The sequence below is a fragment of the Homo sapiens genome, chromosome 2 (genome assembly GCF_000001405.40).
Source record: "Homo sapiens chromosome 2, GRCh38.p14 Primary Assembly".
In the NCBI taxonomy this organism is placed as follows: domain Eukaryota; kingdom Metazoa; phylum Chordata; class Mammalia; order Primates; family Hominidae; genus Homo; species Homo sapiens.
Genome location: NC_000002.12, coordinates 181,214,683 through 181,230,570, shown reverse-complemented (window position 1 = coordinate 181,230,570; position 15,888 = coordinate 181,214,683). Strand labels below are relative to the sequence as shown.

General features: G+C 35.3%; 1 long non-coding RNA gene across 1 annotated transcript in view; it reads right to left on the bottom strand.

Moving 5' to 3' along the window:
• Positions 1 to 15,888, bottom strand: part of LINC01934 (long intergenic non-protein coding RNA 1934) — a 275,717-nt gene that overhangs the window by 168,983 nt on the left and 90,846 nt on the right. Inside the window, exon 2 of the long non-coding RNA NR_130784.1 lies at positions 4,036 to 4,100. This is a non-coding gene — a long non-coding RNA (long intergenic non-protein coding RNA 1934). The remainder of the gene's footprint in view (positions 1 to 4,035; positions 4,101 to 15,888) is intronic.

Genomic DNA, 15,888 nt, shown 5'->3' with positions numbered 1-15,888 from the left:
ACTGTCAACTTTGTTTTATTAAGGAGGTCATGGTAATTAAGCCATTTCAAGAAAATTCTCATTTTTAAGGAAAGGGAAACTTGGAACCCAAGAAAACTTTCTAGACTCCAGACAACAAAGCAATCATAGGGAATTAAAAGGCATATGGCTCATATCTGGGGACAAAGAAGTTTTTGGCACTGTGGCCAGGCTTGTAGAGGGAATGCATGTTAAAGGAAGAGGTGAGAGGAAGCAGAAGACTTTCCCTCTCCCTCTTTCTAGATCCACCTCACCAGGAACAATGATAAGATGGCATGCCACCCTGTGTTTGATAACAGTTTCAGATATAAAAACATGGTCTTTATTTCTTATCAATGAAAACTACATGGGTATTTTTGAGGTATTACTTGGGTATTAACTCAGAAAATTCATAGATATAGGATTCTAGAGAATTAGATAACTTATGCATAATATAAATAAGCAAGTTACACAGGTAATAGCTAATCTAGCAAACATGATAAAGAATCAGTGATAGATATCAAAAAGGGAGAAGAGAATAAAAATATTTGGCTGTAACTTTACAAAAATCACTCATTATTTTAATTATGCATATTTTTAAAAACTAGTCACAAATCATGGATATGGATATTGACCAAGTCATAAACTTTGAGCAAATAAACAAATACACATATTTGAAACTGACATGATCTGTTTCTCTTAAATGTAAAAATTTTACAAATTACTTATAAATTATTCCAATTTTCTTTCAGTTTTTAATTCTGAACTAGTTTTAGCATACTTTTTACTCTACTGTCAACTCATTTACATTAAAATTAATCTAGAAGTCTACAATTAAGCAACTCCTAGATAAAATGGGTTACTCAAATGTGTATGTTTTAATGAATAATTGCATGTTGCTTGATACTTTTGTTCAAAGAAAATGTCACCAAAATCTTGTTTTGGATGTAGGTGCTTCTATTCAAGGACAGAAGCTGCAAAGGGGCTTTCTGCAGCACCAGGTGAGAATCTCCTAGGAATTAGGGATGATATTCGTGCTTGGGACCTGACCCCAACAAGGAGTCCAGAGCTCTCCATTCATGCTGCCTCATCTCCTGAGGCTGATTCACAAGGGAGGGTGACAGCCGCTTTAGCTGCTCTTGTCACCACAAGGCACTGACCAGCCTTTGGCTCATATAACAGTGGAACACGTTTTGGAGTTTCTCACTTCCTCTGTGCCTGGAGTAGATAATGTTGCAAAGACTAAAATTTACAAACTCAAATCTATCTTGTAAAAGAAGAGTAGGAAAGCCATGCTAACAGATTAAGACTTAATACTTTCAGTAAAGAATAGTCATTGGAATCACCATTTTTATATACCATATTTGAATCATGTAACACTTTTCTCAGGGTGGTTGAATTCATCAGGAAAAAATATATAGAGATATATTTATAGCTACATTCATGTGTTACTTTGATTTTACTTAGATTGTTTAAATTCTCCCCAAAACTTGCACAACTCTAATAATTAAAAGTTATTAGAGTGAGGGCTGATCTCAAGGTAAAAAGATAAAATTATAGCTAACTCACTCTCCGAATGACTTGACTTTAAAAAGCTAGTTAAAGATTAAATAATAATAATAAAACTTACATTTGAGGGCCATTCTTCACTGTTTTATAGATCCCTAGCCATGCATTCTCCCAGAGCTAACATAAAACTGCCAATCAAAACATGTTGAGTTCCTACTCTATGCCCTCAACTGTATTAGCACTCTGTTGACTGTAGAATCATCCACAGGAGAGGTCACTCCCATCAACTGGGTGCATGATTCAGGGCAACTGCCTTGGAATGCTTTTTTAAATTTTATTTTAATTTTTATTTTTTGAGACAGGGCCTCACTCTGTTGCCTAGACTGGAATACAGTGGCATGATCATGGCTCACCGCAGCCTTCATCTGCTGAGTTTAGCAATCCTCCCACCTCAGCCACATGAGTAGCTGGGACTACAGGTGTGTGTGCCACCATGCAGGCTAATTTTTAAAATTTTTTGTAGAGATGAGGTCTCATTATGTTGCCCACACTGATCTGAAACTCCTGAGCCCAAGGGATCCTCTTGTCTCAGCTTGCCAAAGTGCTGGGATTACAGGCATGAGCCACCGCACCCAGCCTTGGAATGCTTTTTAACTGAGCTGGGTTTAGCCCCTCTTAGCTTTGGTCTTCTCAAGTGTAAAATGGGGATAACTTATTTCTTTTTTAGGGCGATGGAAAAAATAAATAAGACACTTTATGTAAGGTGCCAGGCACAAGGCTTGGTATTTATAAATGGTGAATGCTCATATTAGTTAGTAATTGTGGTTGCAATAGTAATTTATGTATGTTGCATGCATAATGTATGTAGTAGCAGTGGTTATTCCATGTAGAAGCTAGCTGGGGGGGCAGGAAAAGCATGTTACAATAGCCACAGCTTCCCTAGTATCCCTGGATCTCTGTCAATAAAGTGGGTAGCTGCATTGTGTAGCTGCTTCTCCTGGCTTAATTTCTATAAATGTGTGAGAAAAGAACTCATAAGAGGGAGAAATATCTTCTGTCCACACCCCAGGTCACAGGCATAATCAGAGAATATAATCATTTCCTAATTTCAGAATCCAAGGTATATACCTATGCCTAAATTTTTCCATCATTGGTTATTTCTTGCAGGACAAATAAGAATTTGGTCCCTCACATATTTCACCCAACATGTCGTCCACTTACAATGTACCAGACACTACATATGGTGGGGAGAGTTGAGTTGTGTTCACTCTTTTCCCTTAAGAAGCTAGTGTACAAAAGAAAGATAGTCATGTAAACAATAAGAGATCATGAAAAGAGAACAGAAATCTAAAACCCAAGAGGAAAACTGAGCAGCATAGAGCAGTTCAGAAATCTAGCGGACCTCATAGTGAATAGGCTGGAGCCAAATGCTTCTACCATTGCCTGTGTCTCCATTTGTGTTCATTCCTTAAACTTTGCTTTTTAAAGCATACTTTATAAAAGGAAAATGTGGCGCATTGGTATCACTTTTGGTTGTATGATGTATTGTCATGCTATAATTTTAACAAAGGTGCTATGCTAGCCATAGGGAAGGAGAATATTTCATTCCTTACTCATTGCTAGATTCATGGCTGAGGCACCAATAAAAAAAGACAGATTAATAAGAGAAAAGCGTACTCATTTATTTAATGTAAGCTTTATGTGACACAGTAGCCTTTATAAGGAAACAAAGATTCAAAAAAACAGGTAACCTAGTGTATTTTTATGCTTAGATCTGATGGAGAGATGGATAGATATGGAGAAGTATGATTGGATAAAGTGGGTGTGATCTAATAATAATAAACTGGGGGGAGTTTAGCAAGCCCTTCTCGTTCTGATTCTTCTCTGTGCCCCTGTGCCTTCAAAGATAAAGATGTTCCTTTCCTCTGGGTTTAGGAAGGGCACCTTTCAAATGAAGGTCTCATGACCTGCTTCAAAAAAGAAGGGTAGGAGAAAGCCAAAGAGTGATCTTCTTAGGTTTTATTATATGCTTCAGGTGAGAAGGGTGAGAAGAAGGTGAGAAGGGTGAGAAGGTGAGAGTGGCCTTCCTGCTTCTGCTGTTTTCTCAAATGCCAAGGTGCCATATTTTGGGTAACATGTCCTGAATCCCATTACCACTCTAATCAATTCTAATATTTGATAGTAGAGTACAGAGAATAAATTCCAATTCTTTTATTGAGGCAGAGATATAATTATGAAGTATATACCAACACACATTTCCTAAGTTTATTTGAATATACAGTTGACCCTTGAACAATGCTGGGGTAAGCGGCACTGATCCCTCCCTGTGCAGCAAAAAATCCATGTATAACTTTTGACTCCCCCAAAACTTAACTACTAATAGCCTACTGTTGACCAGGAGCCTTACAAATAACATAAAAAGTTGATTAACACATAAATTATATGCTCTATTATGCACTATATTCTGATAATAAAGTGTGCTAGAGAAAAAAAATTAAGAAAATTGTATGGAAGAGAAAATGTACCTACTATTCTTTAAGTGGAAGCAGATCATCATAAAGGTCTTCATTCTCATCATCTTCACGTTGAGTAGGCTGAGGAGGAAGAGGAAGAGAAGGGGTTGGTCTTGCTGTCTCAATGGTGGCAAAGGCAGAGAGGTGAGAAGGTGGAAAAGGAGGCAGGAAAGGTAGTTATACTTGGTGTATCTTTTATTGAAAAAAAAATCCATGTATAAATGGACCTGTGCAGTTCAAGCCCATGCTATTCAAGGGTCAACTGTAATGAGGATTGATGTATACAGGTTGAGTATCTCTTTTCTGAAATGCTTGGGATCAATGCGGGATTTTGAATATTTTCAAATTTTGGAATATTTGCATATATATAATGAGATATCTTGGGGGATGGGAACCAAGGTTAAACAAAAAATTAATTTACGTTTTCTATACGTCTTATACATGTAGTCTGAAGGTAGTCTTATAAAATATTTCTAATAATTTTGTTCATGAAACAGAGTTTTGGCTGAACTTCAACTGCAGTTCATCAAAGGAGATCAGGTGTGAAATTTTCTACTTGTGGCATGACATCAGCACTCAAAAAGTTTTGGGATTTGGAGCATTTTAGATTTTGGATTTTCAGATTAGGGATAATCAGTTTGTATTATAAATGCAAAACATAGATTTTTAAACAAAAGTTCAGTGAGAAAATTTGGAAAAGTTGTTGATGGGAGAAATAAATTTTATCTAAACTTTACTTCTCTGGCAAAAGTAGAGCCTCCTGGAAAACACAGCTGCCATTAACCCCCCGTATGGGGGAGCTTTTAGGCAAGAAGGAGACTGCCTATTGTCATTAGGATGAAAATGTCCAATAGAACCTTCCACAGCTATTGCAACTCTAAATTTCCCCACCCACTTTGTTAAACTGATATATAAATCCTTCTATTTAGGGATTTATTTAACTACTGGGTCTATTGTCAATTAATTCACAGGTCCCATCACTCAAGCCTAAATTGGTAGAGAAAGAATTTTTCCTACCAACACTGTTCATTCTGTGGCATGAAATGAAGGAAAATAAAACTTCCCCTTCCTTTCCATAGGCAAGATTCCACAGGTCTGAAAATATAGACTTTAAAGTATATTTTTAATATTTACATTCATTTGCTTTGATTTCTTTTTCAGGATTTATGGGATTAGCAAATTTGTTATAGAATTGGATACAACTCATTTATTTTAGGACCATATCAGTATATCCTTCTACTATATCTTGTTAATTATGCAAGATATTAAATAATAGAATTTTTGCTTAATACAAACATGTTTGTGATTAACATAATATTTTCGGTATGTCTGAAATAGAATTTCAAATGTGTTGAACTGAGTAAAAGCTGTTTTATAGAATGACAGACATCTTAGTCAAGGCTAAGCATATCTAGAAACAAAGCATGAATATCAAAAGGGTAACGTGCGATCTTAGTTTCATGTACTCATATTTTAAGAATCATATATAAATTGTGGTACTCACCACACCCAAAACAGTGATATGTTTCCATAGTAACTGTTGATCTACTTATAACAAAACAAGGATGGTGAGGAAGGAGAAACAAAGAAAACAAAGTTAAAAACAGAATTAGCCCTGAATATATAATGACCACAAGAGAAACAGTTTGGTAGAGCATGTTGAGAGGGAATATTAACTCAGGAAAATATTAGGAATTTGTGATATTTTTGAAGACAAGAGTTATGTTTTCTGTTTCTTTTAAATCTTTCTGTAGTCTGAAAAAAAGCCATGCACACAAGGGGCAATCAATAATTAAATGAGAGAAAGACAGAGAGGGAGAAAAAGAGAAAGAAAGTAAAGAACAGAGGAAAGGAGGAAAAAAATGAAAAATGAAAACATTCAAGAAAACAAACATCTCTCTACCATCAGATCAATAGGCATGAAAATAATAGAACAAATAACAATAATCAGTTTTCAAAAATAATGATCAACTGTGAATGCTAAAGGGAGAAAATATCCCTTTTTAAAACCTATCATTGTAGGTGTTCACAAATGCCACTCAAGTCACTCTCAACTCCGGTTGCCACTTTAATAAGAAAGGCTCAGCCTGAAGGTGAATTATTTTCATAAGTTTGAGCTTAATTCATTCAGCCAGTTTGAATTTTGAGAACAGAAAAACATGTTTCCTTCCCCAGTGGCATTTTTATACTCATATAAGTCAAAAGTAACTATCCCGTCAGCAACTCAAGTAATAAAAGAAAAGCATGAATTTGAAGATTAATGCACTTAAACACACATGGACATTTTACAGCATGTTTGTAGGTATTTTGGTTTTCTAAATGTAACCTTTGACGTTTAACTTTTGTACATTCTTTTCTAAGCTTAACTATCTTTAAACTTTCAATAGCAATTAAAAACTAAATTGACCATATTACTAAGGTTAATTTACTTGTGTTGCAGATTAAAACAAAAATTATTCTGGCTGTACTTACAAAGCAGTTTGCCTATGTAAACTTCAAGGCTTTATAAGAAGATCATCTGGTGATAAGTTTGGAATTACTCTGTTGACTGAATAGAAACTATGTGCTTCTGAGACTTGGCTGTGCACACAAATCACCTGAGATCGTTAAGATGCAGATTTTTATTTAATAAGTCTGAAGTAAGGCCTAAGGTTCTGATTTTGGACATCCAGCTGATGTGAAACAGACCACATTTTGAGTAGCAAAGCTTTAGAGAACTATAATCTTTTGTTAAATATTTTCCATTTTCTTTTCCTTTTCGATTTGTGATTGATTCTTTTACAATCTTAACTTGTAGAAGAGTGAAGAGTTCTAGCCCTTTATGTTGCGTAGTACATAAAAAGAACTGCACAAATGGACTCTCCTTAGAAATTTGTAAGAATTGCTTCCCCTAAAAAGTTTGATTGTTTTCCTACTTGTCTTTGGTAATGATGAAGATCGCTGATCCTTTGGAGTTCAATTGTTGGGACAAATTTTGCTGCATTTACAAAAATGTGCTGATGTAAAAGTCTAAAAAGTAGCACAGATTCTAAAGACATCTCCAGACCTGAGTAACAATAACATTTTTGGCGACACACAAAGGAACAGGAAATTGTAATGAGTTTCTTTTAGCCCAAAAAGCAACCACAAACTATATTTCATACTGTTATTGGAACAACAGAATCAACATCCTCCATATGGGCCAGCAAAAAAGACACCTTTAAAATGCTATTGGAAGCAATAAATTGAAAAATGGGGCAGGTTAAGTGTGTAATGATACAAGCAAGACACAAACAGGAAGCCAGCAAATCTTAAGGGAGATCTTCCATGGCCTCAACTCTATTAAAATATACACATGGAAGTAGTTTTTCATGATTTTTTATTTCTGGTTTTAAATTTATTTAAGTAAAGAGCAGGAAAATCCACCTCAACAGTTTCCTGAAACTGTGCAGTTGAGTTCTTTTATTACAACCTTGGTTCATTAAAAAATTGTAAAACTCAGGGTATGTTTGCCCCTGTGATTAAAGTCAGAAAATATTGGTATATGGTCCTTCTACTCTTTCAGACAGGCAGAGAATATGAGTCAAAATTTGTAGCTTCTTTTTCTCTGTATATATGTCCACAAGTTTTTAGTACAATCTTAGGTAGATATCCAGGCAATTCAATCTATCTTATTTATCCTGTTAATGTCAGAATTTTTTGATAAGTTATAGATGGTCAATGAGCAGAATACTTCATAGAAGAGAGTAGAATATAAGTACATTTATTTCATTTTATACTAAGATAGTTTTTTTTTCATTTTCATGAGGTAAAGTTAACATATAGATATGACAGCAACAAAAATACACTTTTAAAAAATAGTTGGATTTTTAGCCAGTTCTACTACAAATATATTGACTACCTGATTTTAGCTTTGTTAAAAGCTAGTGTGGATAATAAAATGCTGCTACTGACCAATCATGCATTCTTCTTAATCTGTCTTTTATACATGTCCTTTAAAATGGAGGGGAAAAGATGGTACATGATTAACTATATCTACTAATGTGAGCCAAAAACAAGTCAGGAACAAAAACTATCTAAAAAAATCAAGAAAGCAATCACATTTAAAATAGCATTAAAAAATGCTTAGGAATAAATTTAACCACAGTGGTGAAAGATCCCTACGCTAAAAACTATAAAGCACTGATGAAAGAAATGGAAGAGGCATAAATAATTGGAAAGAGAGCCCGTGTTCATGGATTAGAAGAATTAATAAGGCTAAAATGTCCAGAGGAGCCAAAGCGATCTACAGATTCAATGCAATCTCTAACAAAATTCCAATTGCATTTTTTACAGAAATAGAAAAATCAATCCTAGAATTCATATGAAGTCACAAAGGACCTCAAATAGACAAAAAATCTTGAGCAAAAGAATGAAGTTGGAAGCCTTACACTACCTGATTTCAAAATATTACAAAACTATAGTAGTGAAAATAGCATGGTACTGTCATAAAAACAGACACATAAACCAATGGAACAGAATAGAGGGCCGAGAAATAAACTTATACCAACATAGCCAAAGAATCTCCAACAAGAATACGAAGAATACACAATGGGGAAATGGCAGTCTTTTCAAGAAATGGTGCTGGGAAAACTGGATCTCCATATGCAGAAGAATAAAAGTAGACTCTTATCTCATATCATATATAAAAATCAAAATAGATTAAAGACTTAACCCTAAGATGTGAAACTCTAAAATGAGGAAAACAGGGAGAAAGTTTCAGGATATTGGACTGGGCAATAATTATTTTGGATATAACCCCAAAGTGCAAGCAATAAAGGCAAAAATAGACAAATAAGATTGTATCACACTACAAAGCTTTGCACAGCAAAGGAAAAAATCAACAGAGGGAAGAGACCAACCTACATAATGGGAGAAAATATTTGCAAGCCATGTATCTGAGAAAGGGTTAATGTCTAAAATATATAAGGAACTCAACTTGATAGCAAGAAAACAATCCAATTAAAAAATAGACGAAAGACTTGAATAAACATTTCTCACAAAAACACATACAAATGGCCAACAGATACATGAGAAAAATGCTCAATATCACTAATTTCTTTTTTGCAAAGAAAAACAAAGCCACAATGAGATATCACCTCACACCTGTTAGAATGGCTATGATCAAAAAGACACACAACACAATAGACACTGGTGATGACACAGTAAAGAGAATCCTCATATACTGTTGGTGGGAATGTAAATTAGCACAGCTGTTATGGAAAACAGTATGGAGGTTCCTCAAAAAACTAAAAATAGAACTACCATATGATCCAGCAATCCCATGTCTGGGTATATATCTAAAGGAATTGAAATCAACATGTCAAAGACATACATGCACTCCCATGTTCATTGCAGCATTACTCATAATAGCCAAGATAGAGAATACACCTAAGTGTTAGTTAAACTGATGAGTGGATAAAGAAAATGTGGTATATATATTCAGTGTCATACTACACAGCCTTAAGAAAGACAAAAATCCTGTCATTAATGACAACATGGAGGAACCTGGAGGACAATACGCTAGGTGAAATAAGCCAGGCACAGAAAGACAAATACTATATAATCTCACTTATATGTGGATTCTAAAAAAGTCAAACTCATAGAAGCAAGGGCGAGAATGGTAATTGGAGGTGGGGATGTTGGCCAAAGGGTATAAAGTTTCAGTTAGATAGGATCGATAAATTCTGGAGATCTAATGTACAGCATGATGTCTATACTTAATAATATATTGTATACCTGAAAGTTGCTAAAAGAGTAGATCTGGCTGGGCACGGTGGCTCACACCTGTAATCCCAGTACTTTGGGAGGCCAAGACAGGCGGATCACCTAAGGTCAGGAGTTGGAGACCAGCCTGGCCAACATGATGAAACCCCATCTAAACTAAAAGTACAAAAATTAGCCAGGCATGTTGGCATGTGCCTGTAGTCTCAGCTACTCCAGAAGCTGAGGCAGGAGAATCACTGGAACCCAGGAGGTGGAGGTTGCAGTGAGCCAAGGTGGCGCCACTGCACTCCAGCCTGGGAGACAGAGAGAGACTCCGTCTTGAAAAATAAAATCAAACAAAAAAAAAAAAAAAGAGAGAGAGAGAGATGTTAAATTATCTCATCACCAAAAAATGGTAAGTGAGGTGAAGGATAGGTTAACTGGCTTGATTTAATCATTTCACAAGGTATGCCTGTATCAAAGCATCACATTGTATGCTGTAAATATATATAATTTTTAAAAAGCAAATTACATAGTGTTTTGGGTGTTTAACCATTTGCAAAACATCAGTTCATGTACACTGGACTTCCAAATTTTCTAAATTATTATATATTTTAAAATGTAATTTGATTGAATGGGCTAAAAAGTTTTCAAAATACCATCAAGAATATAGTATATGCATTTATGAACAGGATGCAATGACTTAAAATATTAAAGTGACACAAACATTCACATAACATTTATTAAGCAACTCCCCAAAGCCTAGAACTTTAAAGGAATCAAAATCCCCTTTTAATGTCAGAAGGTAGATTAATTTTTTAAAATTTTCCATGAAACTAAGGGTAAAAACAAAAATCCCTAATTTATAAGGTTGCATAAACTCCAGTTTCCAGCACTGACCACTAAGAAAACTTGGAGGAATGAATTTCTTCTACATTCCCAGAATTTTCCTTTCTTTTCTAGACAGGGTCTCACTCTGTTGCCCAGGCTGGAGTGCAATGATGCTATCATAGCTCACTGCAGCCTTGATCTCCTGGGCTCAAGCCTCAGTTTTTTGCCTCAGTCTCCTCAGTAGCTGGGACTACAGATGTATACCACCATGCCCCGCTGTATTTCCAATATTATAAGTACTCATGCCCTTATGAGAAAATAGTATCTTAAGCAGAAAGGCATTTTGCTAAACTCAAAATGGAACTAAAATTTTAACATCTGACAGCAGAATTTCTTACACAGTTCAACATTTTAAATTTTGCATAAATATTTGTACTTATGAGTACAAAAATCTGACCCACATCATGATATATTCTCAAGATTCTGATAGCAACTCACATAGTTTTAGTTATAATATAAATGAGAAAAATGTATGCTAAATTTTATGCCTTGTATGCATGTAATGAATCAATTTTTCAAGGACTACTATCAGGCTTAAGTGATATAAATAAAGAACAAAATAAAGTTCCTGGTGCACAATAAGGTCTTCATCTCACCAACAAGTAATCATGGCTATATGAAACTGCCCTTTCAGTTACCTCATATAGCATTGGCTCCTCTGCAGGGTAAGACTACCCTTTCTCTAATGCAGATATTGCATCCAGAAGGCCATGGGCCATATTCAGTTGAAAGATACGTGTGGCCTGAAGAGTATGTTTTGTTTGGTTTGGGTTATGCAATATGATATTTTGAAGAACTTTCCAATTTGGTATTCTAAGACTATGTTTTGGTTTGCTCTGGTATTTTGCAATTTGGTATTTGGTATTTAGATGGCGCCTAAGCTGGCCACCCCACCCCATTTCTTATTCTTCCCAATTGTTTAATGACCCATCTAACCCACTCATTTTTGTCACCTGTCTGATCTCTGCACCAAGCCCTGCACTATTAGCAAATCTCAATGGGAAACTCTCAAGTAAAATAGCTTCCACTGTGACATCTTCACATGAAAGAAAAATGTTCATTTTCCTTACACCATGATTGGTATGTATCCTTTCATTTTATATGACAGCAAGCCAATATTTGAAATGTTAGGGAATACTCAGCACAAACCAGCTTTGGCAGCATCTCAGCAACTCCTGTGACTCTGAGCATCCTGGAAAACTGTCTGCTGATCTGTATGCTGCTCAGCTTTGGATTTCAGTCTGCTTTGCAACATTATCTTGCTCTATTGAATGAAAATGTGAAGTCTTCCTTTTTTCCTACCCTGCTATTCTCTCAAACCCTCAGACAATGGAATTTTCCATTAGAAAGAGAGAATATAGCACTTGGAGGGGAAAAATCAGTTTTTTGTTCTTCTTCTGCCCACTATAATACAAAGCTTTGCTCCTCCTCTCGGGAGAACGTAAGGCTGGCTGGCAGTCAGTTTGACAGAAGGAGAGCAGTGCAGCGGAAAATTGGATAACAGGATAAAAATCTATGGGGCCACAGGAATCCCATCAAAACTGGCTCCTCCTGTCAAAACCCAAACAAGTGACAAGGACAAATATAGAAAGTTATTTATATTTAAATATTTCTAATGATATCGTAATTATACTTCTGTCTCTGTTAGGCAGCCATTTTCCTGTGAGCCACAACTCTGAAAACCAGATATTGTATGTTGGAGAAAATCTACATAAGAATCAGACAGCTTCAATTCAGACATCTGGGAAAATTCTATGAACTCCTCAAATAGCTATTTCTAAAGGACAGAGCATAACAATTTGTTTTTTCAAAGACTTTTTTTAGAGTGCAATAGCCAAATTCAATAAATATGGGTTATTCCCAACTCTTTGGGCATGGGAAAACCAAACTCTCTAGAAGGTATGTAATAAATTAATTTTACTTAAAATTAAATTTGATATTTTGAAAAATGTCCTATTTTATTTTATGACAATGCATCATATTGTGTCATTGGGTAGGTCAATTTTCTGACTAAACTTTAGAGTAAGTTCAATAAACTGAGATTTAAATTGTCAAAAGATATACATTTTCTCATTTTCAAACTTGGAAAATGGGTTTAATATAGATATTCTATATACATTAAAATTAATTTTATTATTAAAACCAGACATTTTGGAATACTTCTTTGAGAGAATACAAGTGATATCAAAGAATTTAGCACCACAATGGAAGACAAAAGTGAACAAATACATAGACTATATAGGATCTACTGTATATTATACTTCTACAAAACTTTAGTCATAATTCCTAAGGACTTATTCGTCATCGTTATTAAACACATAGTCTTCCTCTTTCATAGAGGGATAGCTATGCATATACATATACACACATCAGACCTGTGCAACAGAAAGCGAAGCAGAGGACTGTCAGCATGCAGATTCATTAATTTATATTGAAAACGATGTATTTATTGCCCTTAATATTCAAGACAACGTGTCAAATGCTGGCAGTAAAGGCTAATATTAAGGGATACTTCAGTCACAATAATATGTCATCTAAACATCTGAGAGTGCTCTATACAGAGATCAGAGCAACTGAGGATCCTCCGTTCTATGGGTCCTTTTCAGTTGAAATATCTCTGACGTGTAATCAATGCTTCCAATTATCTGAACCCATTTTCCAGAAAAAAATTTAATTTCCCACTGCTGCCAACTCTCTCCTTCTACTTAGCTCTAACAAACAGATTTCCTCATTTTTGCTCCTATGTGCCATCGTCATTTCTGTCTTCTCTTGTTTATGTTCTTCCTAAACCTAAAGTGGTCTTGATCTTTTCCTCTTTCACCTAAAGTCCCATCCTCTAAAGTCCACCTAAAGTATCACTTCCCTTTGAAGCCTTTTGACAAATCCAATGGTTGTTTACCTTGTATAAGGCAATGTTTTCGGTGCTTAATGTATATGACCATATTTAATTGCCACAATTCCATTAAGAGTGGTAGGATCCCATTTTAAAGATATGAAAAGATCAGAGAAGTAAATTGTCTCAAGTAACACAGCTAAAATGTAGCAGAAACCATATTCAAGCCCCATCTGTCTGACTCAAAGGCCTATGTCCCTAACTGTTCTGTTATTTTGCTCCCTCTTCTAAGATCTTTTTTCTCTAAACTCATGTTCTAAATGGTACCATATGGTGTAGGGTTTAATTGTTCTTTGGTTCATATATTTCTATTCTGGGTTCTTCAGTTAGATAATAAATGTGTAAAAGTTTACTGATCTCCACCCCAGCCTAGTACCAGGCATTTAATCTGTTAATGGACCGAATCTAGCAAATCTACAAGAGTTTAACAAATAAAAGGGAAGCTGTATTTCTCAGATTATTGCTGTTTGTCATTGATTTGGGTAATTTATAGTTCTAGTAGCCCTTTGGGACTATTTGCACTCTAGTGCACTATAAAATGTGAAGTCACAAAAGAACATCTTAACCTGTATTCAGTAAGTCTTTTACTAAGACTTTGTGAATAGCATTTTACCAGGTACATGGGGGAAAATACTAAAGATGTCTAAAACATAACCTCTGCTCTCAAGAAACTTGTGATCTTGTTGTAGAGAGGTTTCATATATATTAAATTATTTATGTGTTATAAAGTATAGGGCCAAGCCAGGCATGGTGGCTCATGCCTGTTATACCAGCACTTTGGGAGGCTGAGGTGGGTCGATCATTTGAGGTCAGGAGTTCGAGACCAGCATGACCAATATGGTGAAACACCAGCTCTACTAAAAAAAATACAAAAACATTAGCCAGATGTGGTGGCACGGGCCTGTAATCCCAGCTACTTGGGAAGCTGAGGCAGAATTGCTTGAACCCGGGAGGCAGAGGTTGCAGTGAGCTGAGGTTGCACCACGGCACTCCAGCCTGGGTGACAGAGTGAGACTCTGTCTCAAAAAAAGAAAAGTATATGGTCCATGTAAGTACGTATACTACGTATTATATATGTATATGAGTTAATATCTAAAACATGAGTTTATACATAAAATACACTTTAGTGCAGTGCCTAGCACACAGTAAGAGCTCAATGAATATGTACATATCCAAAAGATCTAATGTATGGTATGATGACCATAGTTAATAATATTGCATTGTACACCAGAAATTTGCTAAGATCATAGATTTTAGGTCCTCTTATCACAAAAATAGTAATTATGTGAGGAAATTGATATGTTAATTTGCTTGACCATAGTAATCATTTCATTATATATATCAAAACATGCTGTATACCTTAAATACACACAATAAAAATATATCCGTCCAGTCATACCAAATGGAGGCTACTGAGCATTATTTAATCTGCCATTACTCAGGATTTTTAGGGATCTATTACTATGGTTATCATTTATTATCAGACATCACTTAATAAATATTTATTGTTTCTATTCTGTGCTTCCCAGAATGTATAGTCTAGCAAAGTCAGTGTTGAGAAAGGAGTATATAAAATATAAGAAATTAAACTTTTTATTAAGGGGCTATATTAGTTCATTTTTTGTTGCTTATAACAGAATACCTGAAATTTACAAAGAAAAGGAATTTACATTTTACAGTTATGGAGATTGAGAAGTCCAAAGTCAAGGGGGCCACATCTGGTGAAGAATCTTCTTGCTGGTGAGGACTCTGCAAAGTCCTGAAATGGCACAGGACATCACATGGCCAGGAGGCAAAGTGTGCTAACATTAGTCCATGAATGGATTAATCTATTCATGAGGCCTGAGTCTTCATGGTCCAATTACTTCTTAAAAACTCCCACCTCTCATTACTGCAACATTGGGGATTAAGTTTAAACATGAGTTTTGGAGGGGACAAATATTCAAACTATAGCAGAAGTCCTCTACTGCAAAATGCTTTGCAGATGAAGTCTCTCATATGAGCTCACTTTCTCCAATATCATTTTTTTGTTTGCTCCTTAAAAGTTCAGCAGAAAAAGGATAATTTTTGTACATCTAGTTTGGATAGACTCTGGCTATGATTTTATTTTACTGTTAACCAAAATGCATAAGTGCTCTCTCTCATGTTTATTTTTAATATATGAATTTGGATAAATTAGCCTGGGGTTAGGTAAATTAAATGGGAAAATATCCCTGATAGAGCTAGCAACAAAAACAATATGTGGTTCTTTGATTCTGTGACTTATTTAATGGATCACAATCAAGTACCAGCTAAAGGCTGGTAATTTAAATTATAAGCAGAGGGGTTCAAAGCTATGGCTAATTCATTACTCACACATCT